We start from the raw sequence: 26,611 nt of genomic DNA, 5'->3' as shown, positions 1-26,611 counted from the left end.
TACTCCTTTCCTACCTCTGCTCAACTTGTTTCATAAGCCTAGATTTTTATCTACCTTTTTTCCAAAGTTGAAATCACCTGGACTTATTTCTAGGGGCTCTTCTACTTGTTCAAAGAAGTGAAAAAAAATCATTAGCAAACATAGAGGAAAACAGCTAAGGTACAGCACAGAGGTTCTCAAAGTGTGGTACTTGAAACAGCAACATCAGCATCACCTGATAATTTCATAGAAATGAACATTGTCTAGCCACCCCAGGCCAATTGAATAAAAAACTCTGGAGGTGGGCACAGCACTCTATATTTTAATACGTCTTCTGGGTGATTTTCATGTACACTGAAGTTTAAGAACCTCTGGGTCTGGAAGAAAAGAAGATGTCTGACAAATGTTTTGAATAAAATGAGGCATCTCATTAAACAGAATCAAGTCTATATTTTTGACACAGAAGAATATCTAAGATATTCCACATAAAGGAAAAAGCAATTGTAAAACCATGGGTATAATTTTGTAAAAGAATTTTGAAAAGGTACTACATAGAAAAATGTCTAGAAGGTTACATACTAAACTGTTAACAGTGGCTAACTTAGGGGAGATTTTACTTTTTCTTTATGAATATCTGTATTTTTAAATCTATAAGTATGTATTATTTTATAATTTTAAAAAAATGATTAATTTAGACATCTTCTACTGCTCTCTAGCAAAACTCAAGAGGTAAAAATTAACTCATTCCCCAATAGGCTTCAGTGTCTGGACTAATCAAGCTTTGTGATGCTTTAGGGAATTCTAGAGGAAGTGAGGCAGAGATAGTGCTCAGTCCTCCATGACTCAATCAGTGCTTCTATGTAAAGCCTCTGTGCCCAGGAAATGACAGGTCACAAAGCCTAAGAGATTTCTGCCCTTCTTAAATAGGCCAACTCAAAAAGGGGATGGTGGGGCTCTGTGGGAAAACAGAACAGACAAAAACTTAAGGGTTGTCTTGGAAGATGCCAATTTATTTCTAGGAAAATCTTCTTTGTGCAGAAATTATATATTTAAGTGGCCTGTTTTTTACCCCCATTCCTGACCTGGCAGTCATTCTGCAATTACGTTCACCCTTCTTCAAGCTGGCTCCAAGTATATACAGCATATGGTTGTGGTAGACTAAAAAGGGGCTTGAAAATAAAATAGGTTGGTAGTAAATGATCCAGGGCAAAATAAAAAGAACGTAAAAAAGAGGTGCAGGTATACACACACACCCAAGATCAAGTCGGGTCCTTACAAATATCCTTTACCTTATGATGCATCAAGAGAAAACCCTGACACTTCCAGGGATTCCTCTCATGCAACCGCTCAAACCTTTCACTTTCTGGCAAGCTTTCCATCAGAAGCACTACATGCATTCATAAAGGATCCCAAAGCACTTTACCTGTATTATAGTCATACACAGAGAACACTCAGTGTGATTTGTACACATCCGCTCCCTCTTCACTGCACTGCTAATTATAAGTTTGGCGGAATCAGAATATGGTTGTCTCCTGCAGAACAGGAGTTGCTCCAGAAACCAGAGAAACTTGGTAAGAAAAGCTTTCAGTAACTTTTAATAAGTGGTTCATCCTAGCTAAAGGAAAAACTTTTATCAGGGGTCCTCCTACTTTGAGCTAGGAAAGTTGATAAAGGTTACTCTAATTTTTTCTATCTACCAACCTAACTCTCTACTTCTGGAACCCTGACTACACCAGAAGACAAGAGATCTTACCAATGTCCCCGATATTTTCATTGCCATATGAAGAGAAATTTATTCTTGTGGCTGCAGCCACCTTTTGAAGAGCCCACCAGTCTATGGCTCTGCCACATATTGTGTTTCAATTTAGAAAACTGCAGCACAATGTGATCATGTGGCAGAAAGGAGATAAAATCCAGTGCTTGGTTTGCATGACATAAGATAAAGAGTATAGGCACTGGAGTCAGAGTTTGAATTCCACATCTATATTACATTAGATTTGGGCAGATGATTCTACCTTTCTAAACCTCAGTGTTCTTATCAATAAAGTAGGAAGAAAATGCTACTTTACAGTGTTGTTAAATAATTAAAAGTATTTAAGGGGAGAGCAGGAATGAGAAGTTAGCATTTAATGGGTACCGAATTTCAGTTTGGGATAGTAAAAAAGCTCTAGAGATGGACAGTGATGATGGCTGCACAACAAAGTGTGGCCAGGTGTGGTGGCTCACGCCCATAATCCCAGCACTTTGGGAGACTGAGGCGGGCAGATCACTTGAGGTCAGGAGTTCGAAACCAGCCTGGCCAACATGGTGAAACTCTGTCGCTAGTAAAAACACAAAAAGTTAGCTGGGTGTGGTGGCATGTGCCTGTAGTCTCAGCCACTCAGGCGGCTGAGGCAGGAGAATCACTTGAACCTGGGAGGGAGAGGTTGCACTGAGCCGAGATCATGCCACTGCACTCCAACCTGGGCATCAGAGCGAGATTCCGTCTCAAAAAAACAAAAAACAAAAACAAACAAACAAACAAAAAACCAAAGTGAATGTACTTAATGCCATTGAACTGTACACTCAAAAATGGTTAAAATTTTGTATGTATATTTTAGTACAATCATGTAAGAGTCCTAGCAAAGTGCCTGACTCTCAGTAGATACTCAAGAAATGCTAGTCCCATTCCTCTTAAAAAAAAAAAAAACAAAAACAAAAACAAAAAGAACCTACAGTAAAATAAAATCATGCGCCTTTCCCTATTTAATTGTGAGAAACTTTGATTCTAAGGCAAAGCCAGCTGGCCCCAATACCAGGTAGTGCCACAGTAAGTGTCTGGGTAGGAAGGAGAAGGAAGTCTGTTCAGTTCCGTTTACCTCCACCCCGTTATGGTGTCTCCCAGAATATCAATCCTCTAGACCCTAACATATTGAAATAAAAAAAAAAAGCCGGGACACTTAAACCAGTTTCCAAACCAGACTTCAGGTCATGAGGAAAAAAGTATTCTGAGTGGCAGCTGGCTCCTGGAAGCAGTGGAGAGATAAGACGCTAGTGCTGAACACCAACTAGATGAGTCTGGATCCCATGCCAGTCCCTGGCATTAAGATGATCTGTATTTCTCAGCTGGTGCGGTGGCTCACACCTGTAGTCCCAGCACTTTGGGAGGACGAGGAGGGCGGATCACGAGGTCAGGAGTTCGAGACCAGCCTGACCAACATGGTGAAACCCCGTCTCTACTAAAAATACAAAAATTAGCAGGGCATGGTGGCGCAGGCCTGTAATCCCAGCTACTCAGGAGGCTGAGGCAGGAGAATGGCTTGGACCCGGCAGGCGGAGGCTGTAGTGAGCCAAGATTGCGCCACTGCACTCCAGCCTGGGCAACAGAGCGAGACTCTGTCTCAAAAAAAAAAAGATGATCTGTATTTCTCTCAGACGCCTTTGGCTGCATCTAATGGACACAGAGGACCAAAGATTCAAAGACCCCTGGTAAAGGAGGATTAAAAATGCACCTGTCTGCAGTTCAGGGAAAACAATGAATGATTATGTGTTGTAAGTCATAAAATAGAGAAGGAGAAAAATAGATGACTTATCTCTAGGCATATCAGGACACTGTTTCTGATGGGCAGGCTTAATTAAATCTTAATGCAATATTCAGAGAGATGATCATCAACACCTCACAATTTTAGCTCAAGGAGAATGAAATGCTTGGGGTACCAACACCCAATCAATTCCAAACAATACTTACTTTAGGGTCTGAGCTCTTGAACTTCAACCTTTCCACCAATTCGATCATAGCGGCCTTCAGTCCACCTGAGTCTTTGCTCTAGAAGAAAGAAAAGTGAGGGGTCACTAGACAGCATTTTGTTGCTCTCTCAAACACAAACAGCATTTTGGAAGACAATGAAATAGAAAGCAATTTTTTCTTAACAGCCAAGAGAGCTAAACAACAAAGGAGAGGTGCATTGCCCCTCTTTCCCTTCTCTATGGACAAAGAGTGTCAGGACATAAATTGCCCAGTGACTGGCACAACTATATGGAATGAAAATTAAATACAATTTGTATAGGCTGACTCACTGCTTCATCTCAGGCTCAACTGTGCTGGTGTTCACTGAAGCTCTACAAAAGACAGTTCCATACAAGATGTCTATTTTACAGACTGGTAATTTTTATTTTGAACCTTTATGCATCAGATATAGAAGTATGCAATATTAAATATACTTATAAAAATTAAAACAAAGAAAATAGTCTGAAATTTAATTATGAATGGAACTGTAGTGTGCTGATTAAGAACACAGGTTTTTTAACTGGGTGTGGTAGCTTGCACCTGTAATTTCAGCTACTCAGGAGGCTGAGGCAGGAGCATTGCTTGAGGCCAGGAGTTCAACACCAAAAAAACCCATAAAACTCACAGGTTTTTGAGTCAGACATATACAGTTCCAATTTTGGATTTGCCATTAACTAGTTGATTAATTTCAGGCAAATTACTAAATGTCTCAAAACCTTCTCCCCCTTCTATAAAATAGTGATAATAAACTGGGCTATTTTGGGGCCTAACTGAAAGTGTTTTAAAAGATATTAGCACAGTATGTGGCACACAGTGAGTGCTCAAAAATTTCATATGCTATTACTATTATTACAGTATAATGATTTAGAATAGCACAGTACAATAAAAGACTAATGTGAGTCCCAAATGCAAGCGTATGTATATAATTTTATAACTGCCACAATTAAAAAGTAAAATTGATTTTGATGTATTTTACTTAACTCAGTATATTCAAAATATCATTACAACATGCAATTTCAACATGAGATTTTTTTTTATGCTAGGTCTTTGAAATCTAGTATTTCACAATTACAGCCCAATCAATTTAAACCAGCCACATTACAAGTGCTCCAAAGCCACATGTGACTAGTGACTACTATATTGGTCAGTACAGATTTAGAGCACAGACTAGAGCCCTAGTGCCATTAGTCACACACTAGCTGTGTGACCTTAGGCAAGTTACTTACCCTCTCTCTGTCTCAATTTCTTTATCTGTAAAATAGAGCCAATAACTATCTATTTCATAGGACTGCAGTAAGATTAAATTAGTTAATGTATGTCAAGGTACTCAGAACAGAGCCTGGCACATGGTAAATAAAAAAGGAAGTATGAAACAGTTTTATTACTATCTGTCTCCCTCGTGATATTTTCAGTTCCTTAAGGGTAAGAACTGTATTTTTTTGTATCCCTGTATCTCTTATGCCCAGCATCTAGATGTTGTAAAAAGTCTGAACAAATCAATGAATGAACATATAACCTTAAGACATGAATGCCATAATAATAATACATTATATTATATATAGGACAATCTAAAATCACAGGAATTCATTTATTTTCTTATCTCAACAACTCTATCAGATAGGTAGGAACATTCATTTCACCAATGAGGGAAAGGAAGCAAAAAGAGGTAAACTCACTGTCATTTCTATGGGGTAGGGACAACAAAGAAGTACAAGAATAAACAGATACTGCAAATATCTCTTACTCAAAATTGGCCTCTGGATCTGTGATAACATATCTTCCAAATTTACAGAACTAATTTCAATTCCTCCAAAATAGGAAATACCTAATAAGATTCCACTATATAAATTAAAATATACTAAAGGGTCAATTTTCCCCCCTCTGACCTCTCTTGCCTCTCAAGTCTACACAGTAAAAATCAGACACAACATGACTACAACCAATATCTACTTTAGATGTGTTCTCCAAACACAGCTTAAATCACATTTCCATGTTAGCAAAGGTTCTAAATTTTAATAAGTTCTATTTTTTAAAATGATGGTTTACAACTCCCCTATATCCTCCACTAATTTTAGTCTTTAATCTCTGTGGTCTCATAGCAGACAGTTGACAAAAGGAACTTAGAGGTCATATACCAGGAAGCAGGTGAGACCTGAAGTGCCTAAAAAAGGGTTAAGTTGCCAGAAACAATCATGCTTTTACGAGATGATCAGACAATAAAGCCTGTCTGGTGATATCATTCCTCTAACCTGCTTCTCATTGGCTGAACAAGCAGGTCACTTGTCCCTGGAAAGCTCTCTTCCCCCACATCCCAGCTGCCAGCGCCCATTTTAAGCTCTTCGGCAAGAGCTCTGATATATTATGACTTTCCCCCTGGCTCTAGAGAACAGAAAGGAATGCACCAAACTGTGTCTTAAAACCTTCAGAAAAGAATAAAACGACAACGAAGGAATCCCTAAGAAGCAGACAGCCTGTCTGCAAGCAGATGTGCCTCGTGTGGATGAATAAGGGAACCCTTAGCCTTCTTTCATAAAAATTCAGTGTGTCAGCAGAATCCTTCCTCCTTTTCACAAAGCATCAGCAGCATCGCCTAACCAGGGAAGAGACAGAGGAGAGGCAACTTAAGAGAGCCTCCCTTCAGGAAACTCACCTGTTCCACCTCCCCACCCCACTCTCTGTGAATTATTCACCAAGATTAACTGGGCTCTATGATGAGCCTGCTATACTCAGTCTCTAAATCAGTGGTGAAGAAAACCTTTCCCAAAGGCTTTTTTAAAAATCTATAAAATAAGCAGTTGGTCAGAAGGCAGAGGCTCCTCGGGGCAGACCTGACCCTGACAGCTGCAGAGCTGGGGCAAGAGTCCAAATGGAGGACTCTGGCCCCAATCCACTCCCACCACTTTCCCCACATTCCAGTCCCTTCCTGCACCCCAAGGGGCCTTGTGCACAGGTGTTCAAGCTAGCAGGTCCAAGCTGAGAATACCCCTCTTGGTCACCCATGATACACATGTGGGACCTAGGGATACATGTATCAGAAACTGGTCCATCTTCAGGCAGACGGACTCAAGGAGAGGCTCTGCAGGCCCTGGAAGCAAGCTCAGGACATTTTACCAGGTAATTCTTGGGTAGCTAGGTACTTGAAGAGTGGTACGGAACGGGACAGGCATGGCTACAGGAGGGGTCTTCAAAAGCATGGGACATAGCCCAGCTACTCGGGAGGCTGAGGCAGGAGAATCGCCTGAACCTGGGAGGCAGAGGCTACAGTGAGCCAAGATCACTCCACTGCACTCCAGCCTGGGTGACAGAGCGAGACTGCATTTCAAAAAAAAAAAAAAAAAAAAAAAAGTATGGGACATAGGTCAGGGGCATGGGGTTGTTTGGGTCTAAGGGTGGTGGTATCTGAGTCTGAGTATCCCCAAACCATAGAATAGTACCATGTTTTGGTTAATTATTTGTTTGCTGAGGACAGCCATTAGTCAAAAGATAGCCAGACAGGAGATTATATCCTCATTTGTTCCATAGTTAGGGAACCAGTGAACAGAAAAGATAGTGGAACAGAACAGCTGCCTCTGAAACCTGAGTTCTAATTGAGAAGTGAACCAGGATAGTAAGAAAAGACAGCCTAATTCTAACCTTGTAGACATTTGGTTCCATTTTTAGAAATGATTGTCAATCCTTGGGGCACATAACATGACTAGCAAAGTAGTAGGATTCCCCTGCTATCTGTACTTCTCCACCTCCATCCCACCCAATGCATTCCAAGAACACAGGAGTTCAATGTGAGCATATCTTGTTTATGTACCTTGTTCCTCCCCTAAGAAGGTGTAGAATAAAAAGAGATAAGTGCTACATTGTGACACCCACCACTCAGAATTTGATTAATCTGTAGAAGCATAGGATGCTTCACAGAAGCCACCTCCTAGGGATGAGTCATAATAAAACCAAAGGACAAAATGCTGTACATGTGAAGGTATTCTTTAGTCTCCAAAGCACTTTCATATGCTCTTTCATTGGCATCTCACTGAAAAGCAGTGTATTCTCACTTTACAGCTGAAAAAAATGGCTGGTGAAAATCAAATGAACCCAAAGCTCAGAGCGCTTATACTCTTTCACTGGCATTTCACAGTAATACAATAACTAAAAGGTAGTGTATTCTCCTTCACAATGGACAAAAATGGCATTGTGGATGTCAAACAATGTCCCCAAAATCACAGAGCTGGTCAGTGACAAAACCAAGATCAGAAAGATCTAAATGAAAAAGATTTATAACATATACATGGTATCAAGAATACAGAAAAAACACATAAGGGATTTCTATACATCAGTAAGAAAAGGCCAAATAAACCCAACAGAAATCTCCAAAAAAAAATGAACAAACGAGACCCTGTCTTAAAAAAAATAGAAATGTGAAATGCAAACACATCAAAACATGCAAAAGATGCTCAGACTCACTCATGATTAAAATATAATTTCTTACCCATCAGCCTGAAATAAATTTTAATCTCATAACAGCAAGTGTTAGGCCCTGGGGAAATTGGGGACTTCCATATGTTGTTGATGGATATATAAAATAACTGCCACTCTGAAATCACATGCCTACCAATCCACTTCTCCTTTCCTCTTGAGGAAGACTAGCACCTGTGTCAAGGATGCATGTACAAAAGTATTTATTGCAGCACTGTTTGTAATACTAAAAATCTGTAAACACCCCAAGGATTCATAAATATTGGGTGGCTAAATAAACTGTGGAATTAACACACTGTGGAATACGACATAGCAAATAAAAAGAATGAGGTAGGTTGTATGTACCTGGATACAATGCATGACATATTGTTGAATTTAAAAAAAAAAACAAAACCTTGCAAAATGGTACATGTAACAGTTTTTTAAAAAATTATTACTTTCTATGAGTGACATAGGTATGTAGAATATTAGAAAAGCAATTATTGCTGGGACTGGTACTTAGGATAGAAGGATTTTAGAGTTAAATATATTCCTATTAATTGCATAATTAAGATTTAGCATACTAAAAAACAAACAAACAAAAAAAGGCAGGCAGTAAGGCAGGGAGAGAAGCAGAAGTTGACCAAGAGGGCCAAGGTCTCCTGCTTACAGTGCTTCTTCCCATGAATTTGCCTAAATGTAAATACTGGGGCCTTTTCCTTTGACAATGCAAACATATGGACCAGCAGATTCAAGAGAAGGTTCTTTACTTGATATTCATGTATGGATTTCAGGGGGTCTGAAATCCTCAAAACGATATAAAATTTGGGCTGTACATGACATTAGCTTTTCTCACATCCTCAAAAACAATTAACATTCCAAATGTAAAGAGCATTGCACAAAGAGAAAGGAGACCTAGGTTTTACTACTAGCACTGCCAGCAACTGCTTGTGTGAGCTTGGAAAAGTCATTTTACATCCCTGGGTTTCTGTTTTTCCATCTGTAAATGAGGAAGATGGACCAGATCAAAAGCTATATATCCACAGCCTGAGGCCTACAGAACTATTTTCTTTGGCTTTTAGAGTGTTGTCCCACACATCCACTAAGAGTTTTAAGTTAGTTGCTAGCATTTAAAAATGAGGACATATGACATAAAAATAAAGATTTCTAGCTTCTTTTGTAAATCCAAAGGGTATGACTGTAATGGGCTCCCATTCCCATATAGCAGAAATTGGCTGAAGCTGAGTAGCAACTACTCACTTTAGGCAAAGCAACCTCTCTCAAGTTTGCCAGTTACCTTGGCTTGCTTCTCTTCTTTACATTACCTTTCTGGTAGATATCTGAAGTTGCTATCCCTGGAAGCAATTCTAAATGTTTTCTACCTCTAATGTTCCTTGTGTTTGAACACCATGAAAATTGGGGTGCCTTTCTTCAAAGGAGTACATATTACCTGATACATTCAGATCCATCCACCCCAAAACACAGAAATAACATTTCATGCTAATGGAAACATGCCTTAAAAATGGGTAAAGGGTAGAAGCAAAAGTAGAATATGGCAGGTAGCAGTGGCATCAGAATAGGAAGAAGAATTCCTTGACAAGTGGTCTCTGCACTTTCATGGAAGTCAGTCTAGTCTAATGCCAATAACCAGCTAGGCACCCAAAAGAAAAGTCACGTGTCAGCAAAAATGTAAATATAAGCCACATAAATATCCTAAACTGGCTCCTGAATATTGAATTCTATTATTACAAAGAATCAATCAGAAGATGTTGAATTCAGAAAGAATACTAGCTATCTGTATTGGGGTGTTTTCCTCCCTATTCCATTGGCTTGTGTTGATATCATTCTTCTAAAAAAAAAAAAAAAATCAATCCAACTTAGTCATTTTACCAGAAGGTCTTGTCTGGGAGAAATTGTGGAAAAGGATCAGAAGATGGAATACAGAAGTCCTCCTTGGTCAGGCGCAGTGACTCATACCTGTAATCCCAGCACTTTGGGAGGCCAAAGTGGGTGGATCATTTGAGGCCAGGAGTTTGAGACCAGCCTGGCCAAGATGGAGAAACCCTATCTCTACTAAAAATACAAAAATAAGCCGGGCATGGCCTGTATTCCCAGCTACCTGGGTAGCTGAGACATGAGAATCACCTGAACCCAGGAGGTGGAGGTTGCAGTGGGCGGAGATCAACTGCCATCTATCCTGAGCAACAGAGTGAGACACTGTCTAAGAGAATGGGGAGGGGAGGGAGCGGGGAGAGGGGAGAGGGAGGGGAGAGGAAGTCCTCCTAAGGAATCAAATCAGAAAGCAAAGTTTTGTCAAAAGGAAATGAAATTAAATTTTAGTATCACCATCCCATGTACGAAAATTTTTACCACCTCCTTTATATTACTTCATTTTCTAACTCCAAACCCACTCCTACACTAGGCCATCACTTTTAGTTGTCAGACTCAAAGTCATTCTTGGGTCTGAAAAAAAATCCATCAGCAAGTCTTTTTAGGCCGAACTCTAAAATATATGCCATATCCAGTTGGCATGTATTCTTCACTATCGTATTGTCCACTATTCCCAACCTGGTACAAGCAGCAATACCGCTCCCACTCTTGCTACCCAACAGCCCATTCTCCACATAGGAACCAAAGAGAAGTTTTAAGAATATAAACCAGATCATTTACTCCCTTGCTTAAACAGTCTATGACTACTTAGAATAAAACCCAAAATCCTTACCACAGCCTACTTGGTAATCTGACCTCATCTACTAGTCAACCCCTACCCCACCACTACTGATTATACTCCAGCCATTCATTTTATCCCCTTAGTAAACTTGTTCTATCTCAGGGCTTTTACACTTGCTGTTCCCTTCAGTTGAACCACTATGTCCCTAGAGCTTCTCATCACTGGCTCTAACTACACCCAGGTCACTAGTTCAAAAAGTCCTCAGATCCTTAAAAAGCTTCCCTCTCATTCCCACATCCCAGTCACTCCCTATCTCCTTCCCCAGTTTGTTTATTCACAGTACTTATCATTATTTAAAATATCACTTATCATTTAACTTCCTTACTGTCTGTTTTGCTCAAAGATTATAAATTCCATGACTTAGAGTTGCTTCTTGTTGGTTCCCTACTGGCCAAAATACTCCACCTGGCAAATTTTAAGCCTTCAATAAATATTTGTTGAATGAATAAATAGACCAAAAGAAAAGAAATGCCACTAACTTCGAATAATATATAAAATTATCTTAAGAAATACTATACCTCAAAGAATTGTGGTAAACATTAAATGAAAGAATATGCAGAAAGTTTAGAGAAGCAGTACAAGCTAAGTTCTCAATAAATGTTAGTTATAATTTCTGTTGTTATTATTAATTAAATAACAATACATTGAGTGACTACTAAGTATCAGGTATTGACCTAGAGAAGTGCTGAATAGAACAAAATAAAAAAAATATTTTACTAATTAAAATTATATATAATATATAGAAAGAAGACCAAAGAGAAGGGGAAAATAGTTTTAGGATATTCAGAAAGTATTCATCTATTAAATGCCTTCATATAGAAAATAAACATAAGGATAATGTGTCAGTACAACTTAGATTAAATATGAGAGGGAGTAATCAAATTTGTAGAGGCAAAATGGAATGGTGGAAAGAATATGTACTTTGTCAGGCCTGGATTCAAATCCCAGTCCTTACGCTTGCTAGCTAAGTAACTGTCAGCAAAACTTAACCTCTTTTGAGTTTCCTCATACATAAAATGGAAAACATAACAACATAGCTAATTGTGGAATTTTATTAAGGATCAAATGAAACAATATATGAAAAGGACCTGGCCACAAACCACTCAATAAATGACAGCTATTTGTTATTTTTCTCATATCTCTGGAAATTCAAACAAAATTCAGCAACAGACAAAATTCAACAACAGTCTCAAAACAACAGTCTCAAAATTCAAAAACAGACAAAAACAGTCTCAAAATTCAACAACAGACAAAGGTTTCTAGACTCTTGGTTTTATAACCTCGGCCAAAGATTAGCATTTTCATTATTTATACACATGAAGTCAGAGTCTACCAATCAACACAGGTTAGAGCCTGCCAGGGTTCACACACACTCAAAATTCACAGAGGAAAATAGTATGGGTGCCTATATAAACTTAACCTTACATCTCTCCCCATGACTGCCTACTAGAAAGAAAATGAAGGCTATTTTCCAACCAGAAAGTAAAGAGTATCTTGTCCCCACCTCCCCTCTGCTTCTATAAAAACTTCCCACAGTTCAGAATGTAAAACAGAATCTAAAGAGGACAACCAGCAAGACTTGTGAACCTAAAATTAGACCTACCAGCTGTGTTTTGGTTAGCTAGTGCATAAGGCACCAGCAGGACACTGAAATATACAGAAGCCTCTTCTCCAAAGACAAGTTTTTCTCCAGCCTATCTACCCACCAGATTAGAGCAGGCAGAAGGAACAGAAGGAGAGGGGGATGAACAGTTTGCACCCAAGAAACTTGGTGTCCAGAGCTTCTACTGCTGCCAGACTAACTTGTCTGGAAAGGAACTCAGAATAGAACCTTAGATGGCTTTATAACAGTAATAAGAATAAGAGCAACCCATTGCTGAGGGCTTATGATATTCCAGGCACTGTGCTAAACTCTTTACATCTATGATCTTGTTTGTTCCTCATCATAACTCAATAAGGAGAAACAATTACTTAGCTCATGTTACAGAAGAAGAAACCAAGACTCAGAGGCTGAGTGAATTACTCAACATTATACAGCTAGTAGGTGGAAGAGCTAAGACTCAAAAACAGACTGCAAAGCCAACTGGGTCAAAGACTGTTTGGTCCTTCAATATTCTTCTCCCATTTTTCCTTAGTAAAAGAACCTCAGCTTTTAGCTGCACACGCTGTGGCCTGGAGAAATGACTGTTTCCCAGTCTCCCTTGCAACTAGATAAGGCCAGGGTATTGAGTTCTGGCCAATGAAACATAAGCAGCAATGTATATAACTTCTCGAGAGTTCCCTTTAAAATAGAGCAGTGTGCCCAGCCAGGTGCAGTGGCTCATGCCTGTAATCCCAGCACTTTGGGAGGCCGAGGTGGGTAGATCACGAAGTCAGGAGATCGAGACCATCCTGGCCAAAATAGTGAAACCCCGTCTCTACTAAAAATACAAAAATTAGCTTGGCAGGGTGGCAGGCGCCTGTAATTCCAGCCACTTGGGAGGCTGAGGCAGGAGAATCACTTGAACCCGGGAGGCGGAGGTTGCAGTGAGCCGACATCGTGCCACTCCGTCTCAAATGAACAAACAAACAAAAATAGAGGGGTGTGCCCTTCTTCACTTTTCTATGTCTGTCATTCTGGAACTTGGACCTCCAGCAGTCATCTTGGCCCATGACACAGTAAGGATGTCAGAATGGAGCTGAAAAGAGCCTAGATTTCTGGTAACTTCATGGTTCTGCCACGCCAACCTTAGACTGCCTACACCCAAAGTTATTTTATGTGACAGAGAAATAAACATCATGTGGGAGTGGTTATTTTGGATTTTTCCAAATTATTTCATTATTTTAGATGCAGTCAAATTAATCCCAATGTAAACACTGATCTACAACAACTATGCAATACTCTCTCAGTTCTTCATTAATGCCCTGGAACTAGACAAGATTATTACACTTCCTATCACATACTTCATGTTCATCTACCATCCAGCAGGCACTGTGCTAGGTGCTGGGAATACAAAGATGAATAACATATAGTTCTAGCCTTAAAGAATTTATAACCCACCAGGGAAAGACATGGAAAGAAATAACATGACATAGTACACAGTATTTAGTGCTACAATAAATGTTCACAGGCTGTTATAATGGGAACAAAAGGATACCTCAAAGCCTGTATCTACCTAGTAACACCCTACCCATCTTTCAAGGCCTACCTCAAAGACTCCTTCCTCTAAGAATCTATTCCTGGCTCCATGCCCTCCAGTGATATCAATTTCTCTTTTCTCTCCACTTCCATAGCATACTGTTTGTACCTTTTCTCTAATACACACAAATAAGCATGTGAAAAGATTCTCTTTCCTATTAGGCTGTAAGCTTCCTGAAGTTAGAAACTTTGCTTATTCTTCTTCGTATCCACCACACAGTTCACCATAATAAGTGCTCCAAAATTATTCAGATGAATAAAATTAGTTTAAGAAAATAAAATATCATTCTCTAAAATGAAAGCCAGCTATATGTTATAGTTTGGACATACTATAATGAATGTATTTGCTAATCTTCTTATTGATGTTAAAAACCAATTATTACCTTACCAAAAACTAACTAAACCCATCTGAAGTGGGTTTAATATATAAATGTTCAACAAAAATAATCTAGCACATTATAGTATACATCAAAGTCACTGCCCATAGAGTTATTTGCCGTAAATTGTGGATTGAGCCTTTGGTATATTTGGGAAATTTTGTTTGATTGGTTGGTTTTGGTTTTTTCATTCTTGATCAGTTTTCTGACATTTAAAAAGGGCATCAATATTGATTTTTTTTGCACCTGATGCAATGTTGACTTGATCCTATCATAGCGATATATACATACACGCAAACACATGTGCGCATGTGTACACACACACACACACACGCAAATTCTCTCTCTCTCCCACTCACACACACAAGATTCAACTCTCCCAGAGCCAGCCTTCTGCATTTCTTACCCCATTCTCATCTCTACTCCCCGTATCAAGACTAAAGCTTCTGTTTCATCCATTGTCTATAATACGTCTCCTATTCTGAAAGGTCCATGAGCATCTGTGTTCCTTACTGCCACCTAACAAGTTTAGCCCCTGGTTCTGAATATTAAAACAATAATAAGAACAGGAAACTCGGCTGGTCCTCTCAGACTGAACCATAACTTCAAGCAGAACACATACGAGGCACTGATACAGATGAATCTCTGGCTTCTCAGACTTGGGTTAGGTGCAAGCGGAGAGAAAAGGTGGGTATGTCAATGAACAGGCAGGCAGGGCAACCTCCCTGTCAAGAGTGGTGGTCAAGACAATGGTGACAGAGGCTCAAGAGTCCTTTATCACCAGAGGAGCCTAAGAATAAGCCTACTGCATCAGCAACCTTACCCAAAAAATCAATTGCCTAACAGCATAAAATGCCTATGAACTCATCCTATTTTGATTGAAAGGCCAGGAAAGAGAAAAAGAGGGCACCAGACTTCTAGGAGAGAGAATAGAGAAAGCCTGGACCTTTTCTCTCAAAAGTGGATTGTTCAGACCACTGGCTAAGCACTCTAGTTCTTTAATGAAGCTCCATCACCATCAATGTTAAATCCCCTGAAAAATCTAACTAATGTAAAATAATCTCATATTCCCTCCATAGAGCAGTATTTTCATCTATGCTAACAACACATTCAATTGCTAGAACAATGCCATTCTCTCATTTACAGAGCCAACTAACCCTTCTATAAGGAGTTGTTCATTTACACCAAACCAATTGTCTCTGCCATGAATAAAATCACTGGACTCTATACAGTAGCATCGAATGGTAACACAATAGGAAAATTTCCCTAGATCTTCACAGGATGTCATAATTCAGGTCTCTGCCCAATATCATATGCTCAGAGATGCCTTCTATAACACATCTTATCAAAAAGTAACCTATCCTGCCACACCAACTCATTCTTACATTACCATGATTTATTGTTTTCATTGCATATAACACCATCCAAAATTACTCTACTATTTCTTTCCCACTGTAGAGAGTGAATTCCAAAAAGCTAGAGCCCTATCTGTCTAGTTCACTGCATACTTCCAAGACTTTTTACAGGTTAAGAAAGTACATTTTGATTGGAAATCCCAGAACTGCAGGCCTCACATAAACTTTCTACAGAACTATGCAGGGTGGCTCCAACTAATGACAGCATGCCATCCCCTTTACCTTGGTCTTAGCGTTTGTCTTATTCTGTACAAATAAATAAGACACTGGTTGAACCACTATGTATGCCAGTGCTACAAACTCTAATTAGAAGGTGACCTATATCTCTTCAGCAAGAATAAAAAGTAAAAAATATAAATAGATACATTACAGCAAGCCTTCAACCTTCTGTCTCCCTGTCAGAGCTTCTTCTATGGGCTGAATGAAAAGCCAGATTCACTGACCACTATGGAATATACTACGGCATACCTCCAGCCCCTCGAGAATCACAGCTATATCCTCCCATTCACCCAGACACCAATGTTCCTCAGTCACTCCCCAAGCAGTTGTTCCGCTTATCACTTAACCAAACATTCTCCCCAAATATCCATCTTAAAAGCAAAGGGTGTGGCTTAAAACCCTTTTGATCTGTCTTTAGAAAAGCCATGTTAAGAACTCCACAAATGCTATATATTTACTGAATTCTGCCAACCACTTCTCCCTTTGCCACTTTGTAAGACTCTACCTTTTCTTCAGGTGATCTTGGGGTACACTAGACGAGTGGTTTTCAAACCACAGGACATGACACATTAGTGTGCCATGAAATCAGTTTAGTGGGAGTGTCTAGAATTTTTTTTAACAGAATAGAAGAGAAACAGAACATATCGTATGTAGTAAGGCAAATGGTGTTCCATTTGAGTTAAAAGGGTATGTGTAGTGGGTGGCTGTGTGTATAAAGGAGATCACAGTATAAAATATATTTCCTCTACTGTAGGTTGTGTTCAAAATAATTTTAAAAATTACTAGACTACTGAGTATATCTAAAGCACTTTTATTGTTCAACATAAAAATTCATTAAATGTATCTCTGAATGCAAATTCCCTTGACAATGTAAGAATTTTCATATGAATAAATCCATAAGCCAGATCAAGCTCTTTTGTCAGATCCAGTGACCCATTTTCGTAGATAGAAATTATGGTCAGAGTAAGAGAATCCCACATATCTGAGATGACAAGTCATGACTCAGGTAAGAAGTCATAAATTGGGCTGCATAACTATTTTTCTATGATAAAGCTAAAGACTAGGCTCAGTTCAAACTTCGACCCACAAAATCTTCTGGAGACCAAATGCCACAGACCAAAACTGCAATACAGCAATGTCCAGGAGAAAAGAAAGAACAGTACTTCAAGTGACTAAATGCTGATCTTACGCCTTCAAGATGTTCACTCAGTCCATTTGGCCTAGCAGGTTGTCTCCATCCCTAATCCCCTCTTGCTGTAGGATCACCCTGTTTTTCTGCTCATTCTGGCCTACTCTGAAGTTTGCTTTTTCTCTAAATGTCAGCAGACTTTGGCAAGAACTTGGCCTTCTATTGCCAATATCAGCCACTGACAGCCTGGTTAAACACTGAGGTATCAAAACATAAATTGTACAAATTCCTCTCAATTCTAAACTTGTATAATTAGCCTCCTTATATTAATAATAAAAAGAAGAGCTAACATTTAGTGAGCACTAACAATGTGTTAAGCATTGTTAAAGTCTCTTAATCACCCACAAAGTCATTTCATTCTCACAAAAGTTCTATTTTATTTCTTATCATTATGCCCATTTTAGAAATGCAGAAACAAGAACAAACTATAACATAACTTGCCTAAGGTCAAAAAATGGTAGAGCAAGGATATTTCCTGTCCCTCTCTAATCCTGTATTATGTTTTACTTTTCATTTATAATACTTATTACACGTTTGCTTATTTGTTCTTTTCTACTTCCTTCCAACAGAATGTAAGCTCTGACAGAAGTACAGACTTTCATTTTGTTCACTGCTATATTCCCAATACTTAGAAAGTACCTAAACTCAGTTGATTCTCAATACTTGCTGAATGAATGAATGCAGTATAACAACGATCCTCTTCTTTTGCCCATCATCCCACTAAGCCACTTTTACTGTTCCAAGATATTCTCTTGCCAATAAGTAAATGTACATTGCACTCGAAACATTTAAAACCAGAGAACTGAAACTAGAGCTGCCATCAAGCTCATATCTTTATCGAATCAAAATGAGCAGCTTCTCACCCTAGCTACCTAAAAGAGCAAATGTCATGCTCTTTCTGAGGAGAATAAAGAAAATATTACTCCAGTCTTTACAATTCCTTCAAACACAACATCTGGCATTAAATGAAAAACTGTGAGACATGACAAGAATCAGAAAAATGTAACATACAATCAAGGATGATTCCCAAAAAGATCCAGAGAAATAGATCTCTAAATAAATAACCAAATTGACATTCTAGAGTTGAAAAACACGGTATCTTAAATTAAGAATTGAATGACACTCAATGGAGTATTTCCAGCTGCTATACATGAAGAATGAAGCAAATCTATGGAGTGATTTCCAAGACGTACTAAGTGTAAAAAACAAAGCGTAGAAGAATATTATATTCTCCCAAAACCTTGTAACTCCAGTTTCACCATAAGAAAAAACACCAGACAAATCCAAATCAAGGAACATTCTACAAAATACCTGACTAGCACTACTTAATACTATCAAGATCATCCAAAACAAGGAAATGTAATGTGAAGTCCTGGATAGAATCGTGGTACAGAAGTCATCAAGAGGAAAAACTAGTGACATTCAGTAAAGTCTATAGTTCAGTTAGTAATGTTCTAACATTAGGATAAGCAGAGTACACGAAGCAGTTCTTGATCTGAGAACATATACTGAGCCCAAGAAACTAGGCTGTGCATTTGGTTAGTAGAAAGTGAGGTGTGAGGGAAGCATGGGATAACAGAAAGCAAAGCCTATGGCATGCTCAGAGTAAAACATTTAAAGGACGGCCAGGCATGGTGGCTCACACCTGTAATCCCAGCACTTTGGGAAGCCAAGGCGGGTAGATCATTTGAGGTCAGGAGTTCGAGACCAGCCTGGCCAACATGGTGAAACCTGGTCTCTACTAAAACTACAAAAAATCAGGCGGGTGTGGTGGCACATGCCTGTAGTCCCTACTACTTGGGAGGCTGAGGCAGGAGAACTGCTTGAACCCAGGAGGCGGAGGTTGCAGTGAGCAAGATCACGCTACTGCACTCCATCCTGGGCAACAGAATGAGGCTCTATCTCAACAACAACAACAACAACAAAAAACAAACAAACAGAAAAACCATTTAAAGCAGATCCTTTCTGGCCAGGTGTGGTGGCTTATGCCTATAATCCCAGCACTTTGGGAGGCCAAGGCAGGTGGATCACCTGAGGCCAGGAGTTCAAGACCAATCTGGCCAACATGGTGAAACCCCATCTCTATACTAGAAATATAAAAAATTAGCTGGGCATGGTGGTGGGCGCCTGCAGTTCCAGCTACTCAGGAGGCTGAGGTAGGAGAATCACTTGAATCTGGGAGGTGGAGGTTGCAGTGAGCCAAGATGGAGCCATTGCACTCCAGCCTGGGTGACAAGAGTGAAACTTCGTCTCTAAATAAATAAATAAATAAATAAATAAATAAATAAAGGGGATCCTTTCCATATAGACTTGGGACCCTCTCACCTTTTCACCCTGCTAAAAATCTCAGAGTAAAAGCAAACTAAACTTGTTACTATCCAAACATCCAAAGGGGAAGGTAGAGAGGTTAACAAAACAGAGAGGGGGAAAAAATGAAAGAAAATCTCTAAGATGTGGGCAAGGTCCTCCTGAAAGTTTGGTCCAAGAAACCTCAAGAAATTAATTTAGTAGAAGGGGATTCTAAACAAGTTGTACTCTCAGGCCTTAGCAGAATCAAACTCGAATCCTCTCTTGAAGTATGCAGCTTCATGCAAGATTTGGAAAAGTCCCATAAGCAGTTTTTAAAAGGCAATGAGAAGCTACACAGCTACACAGAACCCAGCACAAAAAGAAATAAAAACATGAAACATGAAAAACTAAAAACAGCAGCAAAAAGAGGTCCACAAAGTCTTCACATACTAGAATTATCAGAGGCAGATTATCAATCAATATGCCTACAGTTCTTAAAGGAATAGCTAAGACAGCTACAGAATGAAAAAAAAAGAATTATGATTCACAAATTTATACTAGCACATTTGAAAATTTACATAAAATGGACAAACGTCTGAGAAAATGTAACTTATCAAAACTGACCTAAGAAAAAATAGACAACCTAGACAGACCTATGACTATTAAAGAAATTGAGTCCATAGTCAAAAATACTATGTAAAACAATAATACCTAGCAATCCCATTACTGGGTATACACCCAAAGGAAAATAGATTATTTTATTACACAGATACACGCACGTGTATGTTCACTGCAGTGCTATTCACAATAGCTAAGACACTGAATCAATTTAAATGCCCATCAGTGATAGACTGGATAAAGAAAATGTGGTACATATACCATGGAATACTATGCAGCCATAAAAAGGAATCCGATCATGTCCTTTGCAGGGACATGGATGGAGCCAGAAGCCATTATCCTCAGCAAACTAATGCAGGAACAGAAAACCAAATGCTGCATCTTCTCACTTACAAGTGGGAGCTGAATGATAGAACATATGAACACATTGTGGGGAACAACATACACTGGAGCCTGTCAGTGGATAGGGGGTGGGAGGAAGGAGAGCATCAGAAAGAATAGCTAATGGATGCTGGGCTTAATACCTAAGTGATGGGATGATCTGTGCAGCAAACCAGCATGGCACATGTTTACCTATGTAACAAACCTGCACATCCTGCACATGTACCCCAGAACTTAAAAGTTTGAAACTAAAAATAATAAAATGTTGGTGATCAGTTAAAAAATGTAAAACCAAAAAACAAAACAAAAGAAAGCACCAACAATAAACCAACTCTCCCTTCCCCCTTCACTCTCTCCAGGAATAGATGGCTTCCATGGTCAGTTCTACCAATCAATATAGGAAGAAATATTTCAATCTTTCACAAATACTTCCAGACCATTAAAAGAGAGAAAGAATATATAAGAAACACTACACTCTGCCTCAGACTATGAAGCCAAACTTTGATAGCAAAATCCCATAAGAACAGTAAAAGAACAATGATAGGCCAATTTCTCCCATAAATATAAATGAAAAAAAACTACATAAATTATTAATAAGCCAAATCCAAAAACATAAGGCTACTTCATTATGACCAAGTTGGATCAAGGATATCCCAGAAATGCTAGTCTTTCTGCTTTAATTATAAAATACAACAATACGAAGAGATGAAAGTAAGACCATATATATGCACACACCTATATTTGCAGAAACACACACCTGAAGGGTAACCAAAAAACTAATAAAAATGGTTATTGGCCAGGAACAGCCTGTAATCCCACAGCTGTAGGAGGTTGAGGCGGGAGGACTGCTTGAGGCTAGGAGTTCAAGACCAACTTGGGCAACATAGCAAGACACCCATCTCTACAAAATAAAAAATAAATAGTTAGCCAGGCATGGTGGCACACCTGTAGTCCTAGCAACTCAGGATGCTCAGGTGGGAGGATTGCTTAAGCCCAGGAATTTGAGATTACAGTGAGCTATGCTCCCACCACTGCATTCCAGCCTGATCAACAGAGTAAGATCCTGTTTCTAAGAAAAAACAAGTAGTTACCAACAGCTGGTAGAAGAATCAGGTGAAAAGGACACAGGCTTTTGAGGTATATGAATGTATCACTGATTTTAAAAATTAACTTTAATAAGTAAATCAATTAATGTAATTCATCATCATAAAAGTGAAAGAGAAAATCACATGATCATCCCAAAAGATGCAAAAAAAGCATTTGATATTAAATAACCAATCAAAATTCAGAAAAACTTAGCAAACCAGGACTAGAATTTTTTTAAACTGATAAAACATATCTATTTTCAAAAACCATAGAACATATCACTTATTTGTGCAATGTTATCAATTACTGCTAGACTAGGAACAAGGCCAGAATACCCACCAACCACATCCATTCAACATAATACTCGGGGTGCTATCCAATGCAGTAAGGCAAGAAAAAACAAATAACAGATATAAGGATTGAAAAGAAACAAACAAAAAGTATCTCTCTTCACACATAATACAATCAGGTATGTAGAATAAATCTACAGATAAATTATTAGGATATGTAAGATAATTCAGCAGATAGATCACAAAAAAACAATATATAAAAGTTAATCATATTCCTATATTCAATTAGAAAACAAAACTTAAAACCATTTATTTTTATTTTAGAGATAGGGTCTTGCCGTGTCGACCAGGCTGGAGGGAAATGGCAGGATCATAACTCACTGCAGCCTCAAACTCCTAGACTGAAGCAATCCTCCCACCTCAGCCTTCCATATAGCTGACAGGTGTGAGCCACTGTGCCTGGCTCATATTTTCTACAATATTATAAAATTATGAAGTATCTAGGAATAAATTTTACAATGATGTGAAAAATCTTTGAGGAAAAAAATATAAAACTTAACTGCGAAGCAATAAAAAAGACCTAAATTAATGAATCAGAAGACTTCATGTTGTAATGATATTAATTCTCCCTATATTGGCTTATAAATTTAATATCCAAATACACTCCTGCAGGCTTTTTAATACTATGATTCTAAGAAATGTAAAGTGCCAAAACTGGCCAACACACTCTTGTAGGACAAGATGGAAGGACCTGCTTTACCAGATATTAAGACATATTATAAAGGGATAACTGAGAAAACATGCTGTTCACACAGGGATATACTAACAGATAAACAGTAGAGAACAGAAGAACCAAGAAACACATTCACACATATTATGGGCACTTGATATATGACAGTGGGACAGCAAATCAGTGCACAAAGGAAGGGCTTTTCAATAAATACAGCAATAGCAATTGGCCATCTGTATGGAGAAAAAATGAAATTGCGCCCCTACTTCTACTACACAAAAATCAATACTAAGTAGAACAAGACACAAAAAGCACTAACCATAAGGAAAAGTATTGATAAGTTTTACCACATTAAAATGAAGAGCTTCTATTCAAGGCACAACTTCTTTAAAAAGAAAAACCACATAGAAGATATTTGCAACCCACATAGAAAGAACAACAAAAAAAATCAGAAACAAATATATAGCTGGGCACAGTGGCTAACACCTATAATCCCAACACTTTGGCAGGCAGATCACCTGAGGTCAGGAGTTCAAGACCAGCCTGGTCAACATGGCAAAAACATCTCTACTAAAAAAAAAATACAAAAATTAGCTAGGCATTGTGGCATGTGCCTGTAATCCCAGCTACTCAGATGGCTGAGGCAGGAGAATCGTTTGAACCTGGGAGGCGCAGGTTCCAGTGAGCTGAGATCTAGCCACTGTACTCCAGCCTGGGCAACAGAGCAAGACTCTATCTCAAAAAAAAAAAAAAAAAAAAAAAAAACAGATATATAAAAACTCATATAATGAGAAAAGACAACTCAATAGAAAAATGGGCAAAAGAACTGACTAGGTACTTCACAGAGGAAGTATAAAAGATCCTCAAAGTCATTAGTAATCAGAGGAATGAAAATTAAAACCACAATAAAATACCATTACATAGCCACAAGATTGACAAAAATGAAAAATACAGTAATAGCAAGTTTTGAAGATACAGAGCAACAGGAACTCTCATATACTCTTCATAGTGATTCAAACTGGTACAACCACTCTGGAAAATAGTTGGCAACATGTAGTATTACTGAAGATATGCATAGCCTCTGACACAGCAATTTCACTCCTGCGTTTATATTCCACTTAAATGTATGTTAAATGTACACCGAGACATGACCAAGAATATTTACACTGACATTGTTTGTAACAGCCCGACGCTCCCAAACCTGGGAACAAATCAAATGACCATCTATGACAGAATAGATAACTTGTGGCATATTCATAAAATGGAATTCGAAATAGTAATGAAAGTGAATAAACTACAGTCACTCATAGGATGACTCTCACAAACACAATGTTGAGAAAATGAAGCAAAACCCAGAAGAATGCATGATAAAAATATGACACCCATAGTGTCAAGTTCAAATAAGTTTAGGAATGCATACACATGGAGTAAAAGCATAAAGGTAAGCAAGGAAATGATCACAGAAGTCAAGATTATGCTTACTTATGCAGAAGAGAGATGGTTATAATTGGAAAAGGTATGGGGAAAAGGCTTCAATATTGCTAGTAATGTTCTATTTCTTAATCTGGATGGAGACTACCTCAGTACTTGTTTTATAATTATTTGTTAGACTGTAAGTTTTTACACACTTTCTGAATGTGCATTTTACAATTATAAATAGGCACTAAAAAAGGGAAAACCTAATACAGAGGATCTTCACTCTCAAGGTATTTGTTATCCCAATGCCAGCTATTCCCTATTCAGGGAAGCAAAAGTCATCATAATATGACAATGTTCACTAATACAGATTACTTAATGAACTGATCACTCCACTCAAAATTTCCCCCTCCCTCCCCGATTAACACCAGCAGTTTCTCTCAATGATAGTAAACATCCACAATATGAATAAAAGGTGCATCGTCTGCAAATTCATTCATTCAACAAATATTTCCGAAGTGTCCACTGTTCTGGGGGACCAGTAAGGTCCACGACAGACAAAGATCCAGACAGAGGACATGGGAACTTCCACTCCCACCCCAATTTGGCCTCCATCTTCTTACCCTCCTTTTCTACTAAGTTTCAAACACGAAGAATCTAAAATGAACTCGGGGCACATATGAAGTTACTATTAAAACTATTTTGTTAGTCTTTTCAATGCAGACGTATCACTTGCTTGGATTCATGTGGCAAAATCCTATTTCCCATGTTTTCAAGTAGGCAAAAAGATTGCCTTATCAAGAGCCCTAGCACAAAGCACCAGTTTCAACAATAGTGATGCTGTGGAAATTGGCCTAAGTGGGGTCAAAACTCCCAAGAAATGCTTTACCTGGGATCCACAGACCAGAAACTTGCAATTTTCTAGAAATTGTATACTAGATTTTGTGTGTATTTTCTCAGGTCAGAGTCCAGAACTTTCATCAGATTCTCAAAAGAGTTCAACCAAAAACGGTGAATAAGAACTGCTCCCAAAAAGTTGGAAAGACTAGCTTCTTAGGGACACAGTGAAAGCGAATGTGGTCACAGCCAGGCCACCTGAGTTGAAACCCAGGTGTCCTGACCCCTAGGTTTATGCTCTGAAGGCCCAATACTTACTCTTAATTCTTCAAAGGCTTCGTCTAGGGTGGAGAGTTGGTGGCCCTGGTGAGCCCCAATGACTGGACACAGGACACAGATGAGCTGCCTATCTTCCTGGCAATAGGTACTCAAATCAAGCCCATGGTCCGGACACTTCCTCTTGGCCACTCTCTCTGCTTCCATTTCTATTTCTGGGTCAAATTCACTTTCTGCCTCAGTTTCTCCCTCCGCCTCGGATTCCCCTTCTTCTTGGTTGTCTTCTTCGGCCTCGCTTTCTTGCTCATCCTCCATTTCTTCCTCGCTGTCTTCTTCACTCTCCTCATCGCTCTCATCCTCACTCTCTTCCTCTGTCTCGCTCTCTTCCTCTGACTCGCTCTCTTCCTCCGACTCACTCTCTTCCCCTGCCTCGCTTTCTATCTCCCTCTCCTGCTCCACCTTGACCTCCGCTTCTTCCTTCCCCGCCCCCTCTCCGTCAGCTGGCGGGGTCCAGGCCTGGGAGCCGTGGACGTATTCGGCCAGATGGTGACTGAGGAACTTCTGCCTGTGCGCCTCGGCATGGCGGCGGCAGTAGCAGAAGCCGCATTCTCGGCACACTTCCTCGGCCCCCGGAGCCTCGTCGGGCTCGCACTCGTCACACGTGCCGTCGTGAGGCAGTTCCTCGAAGGCCGCGCCCACTCCAGAGGCCATGTGGGTGCTGTGACGCGGCCAAGGCCTCGGGGCCCCGGGGCTCGCCGCCTTCCTTCCGCGCGGCCTCACTTCCTCCTCCCGCCCCGGGTCCCTTCCTAGGGAGTCGCCTCCCGCCTGGACCGCGCCGCGTCTCGAAGCGGGACCTGGGGCCGCGGCAGCCCCTGCCCGGGCGCAGCAGCAAAGACCCTTTCCGCCGGCTCGGCCTGCTCCGCTCTGTCCCTGCGCTTCCTCTGCCGCGCAAGGCACTTCCGGCGCGGCCACCCGGCGCCCCCGTCGGCCCCCGCGTCGCGCCGCCCGCTCAGCCTCCCGCTACCAGGGAGAGATCGCGGCAGCCGCCGGCCCCCGCGCCGCCCCGGTTCCACTTTCCCTTTCCCCGTCAGGAGGCCTCCTTTTACTTCCTGAGTCATTTAAAGTGGCAATGACCCTTTTCTGCTTTTCCCGCGGGGCTCAGCTCCTCCGCTCCAAATCTCAGCGTGCCTTGGAGGAGGAGGAGGGAGAAGGAGGATGGAGGAAGTCTCTTACTCTCTCCAGAAGCAGGAATTGGGCTCCACCTCCCCCATTCCCTCCCTGGAAGTGTCAACTTGAGTTTTCACGGCCACTAGGCTGGTGTCCCTGTGCATTTCAGTCTCTCTTGTGCCAATTTGTCGCCGCCCGTCACAGTCCCCAGTGTTCTGCAAGGT

General features: G+C 39.9%; 1 protein-coding gene across 2 annotated transcripts in view, besides 4 other annotated features; it reads right to left on the bottom strand.

Annotated features, from left to right (window-relative positions):
* TRIM44 (tripartite motif containing 44) overlaps nucleotides 1–26,268 on the bottom strand; it is a 155,233-nt gene extending 128,965 nt beyond the window's left edge. For both annotated transcript variants that reach the window (NM_017583.6, XM_006718254.2), the window contains exons 1-2: nucleotides 25,263–26,268; nucleotides 3,707–3,784 (exon numbers count right to left, since the gene is read on the bottom strand). In NM_017583.6, coding sequence (NP_060053.2) covers nucleotides 3,707–3,784; nucleotides 25,263–25,931 — 747 coding nt within the window. In that variant the 5' untranslated portion in view covers nucleotides 25,932–26,268. The remainder of the gene's footprint in view (nucleotides 1–3,706; nucleotides 3,785–25,262) is intronic.
* Nucleotides 25,580–26,080: an enhancer, noted in NCBI's record as "H3K27ac hESC enhancer chr11:35684511-35685011 (GRCh37/hg19 assembly coordinates)". NCBI's record gives its function as "activates a minimal SCP1, AML or CMV promoter by ChIP-STARR-seq in naive H9 embryonic stem cells {active_cell/tissue: H9 hESC(naive)}" and the evidence as "EXISTENCE:reporter gene assay evidence [ECO:0000049][PMID:30033119]".
* Nucleotides 25,580–26,251: a biological region, named in NCBI's record as "H3K27ac hESC enhancer GRCh37_chr11:35684511-35685011".
* Nucleotides 25,872–26,251: a silencer, noted in NCBI's record as "silent region_3264". NCBI's record gives its function as "represses an Ori minimal core promoter by ATAC-STARR-seq in GM12878 lymphoblastoid cells {active_cell/tissue: GM12878}" and the evidence as "EXISTENCE:reporter gene assay evidence [ECO:0000049][PMID:35858748]".
* Nucleotides 26,292–26,611: an enhancer, noted in NCBI's record as "active region_4625". NCBI's record gives its function as "activates an Ori minimal core promoter by ATAC-STARR-seq in GM12878 lymphoblastoid cells {active_cell/tissue: GM12878}" and the evidence as "EXISTENCE:reporter gene assay evidence [ECO:0000049][PMID:35858748]".

Source organism: Homo sapiens, chromosome 11 (assembly GCF_000001405.40).
Source record: "Homo sapiens chromosome 11, GRCh38.p14 Primary Assembly".
Lineage (NCBI taxonomy): Eukaryota > Metazoa > Chordata > Mammalia > Primates > Hominidae > Homo > Homo sapiens.
The sequence above is the reverse complement of the archived record's forward strand: the minus strand, read 5'-3'. Positions and strand labels throughout refer to the sequence as shown.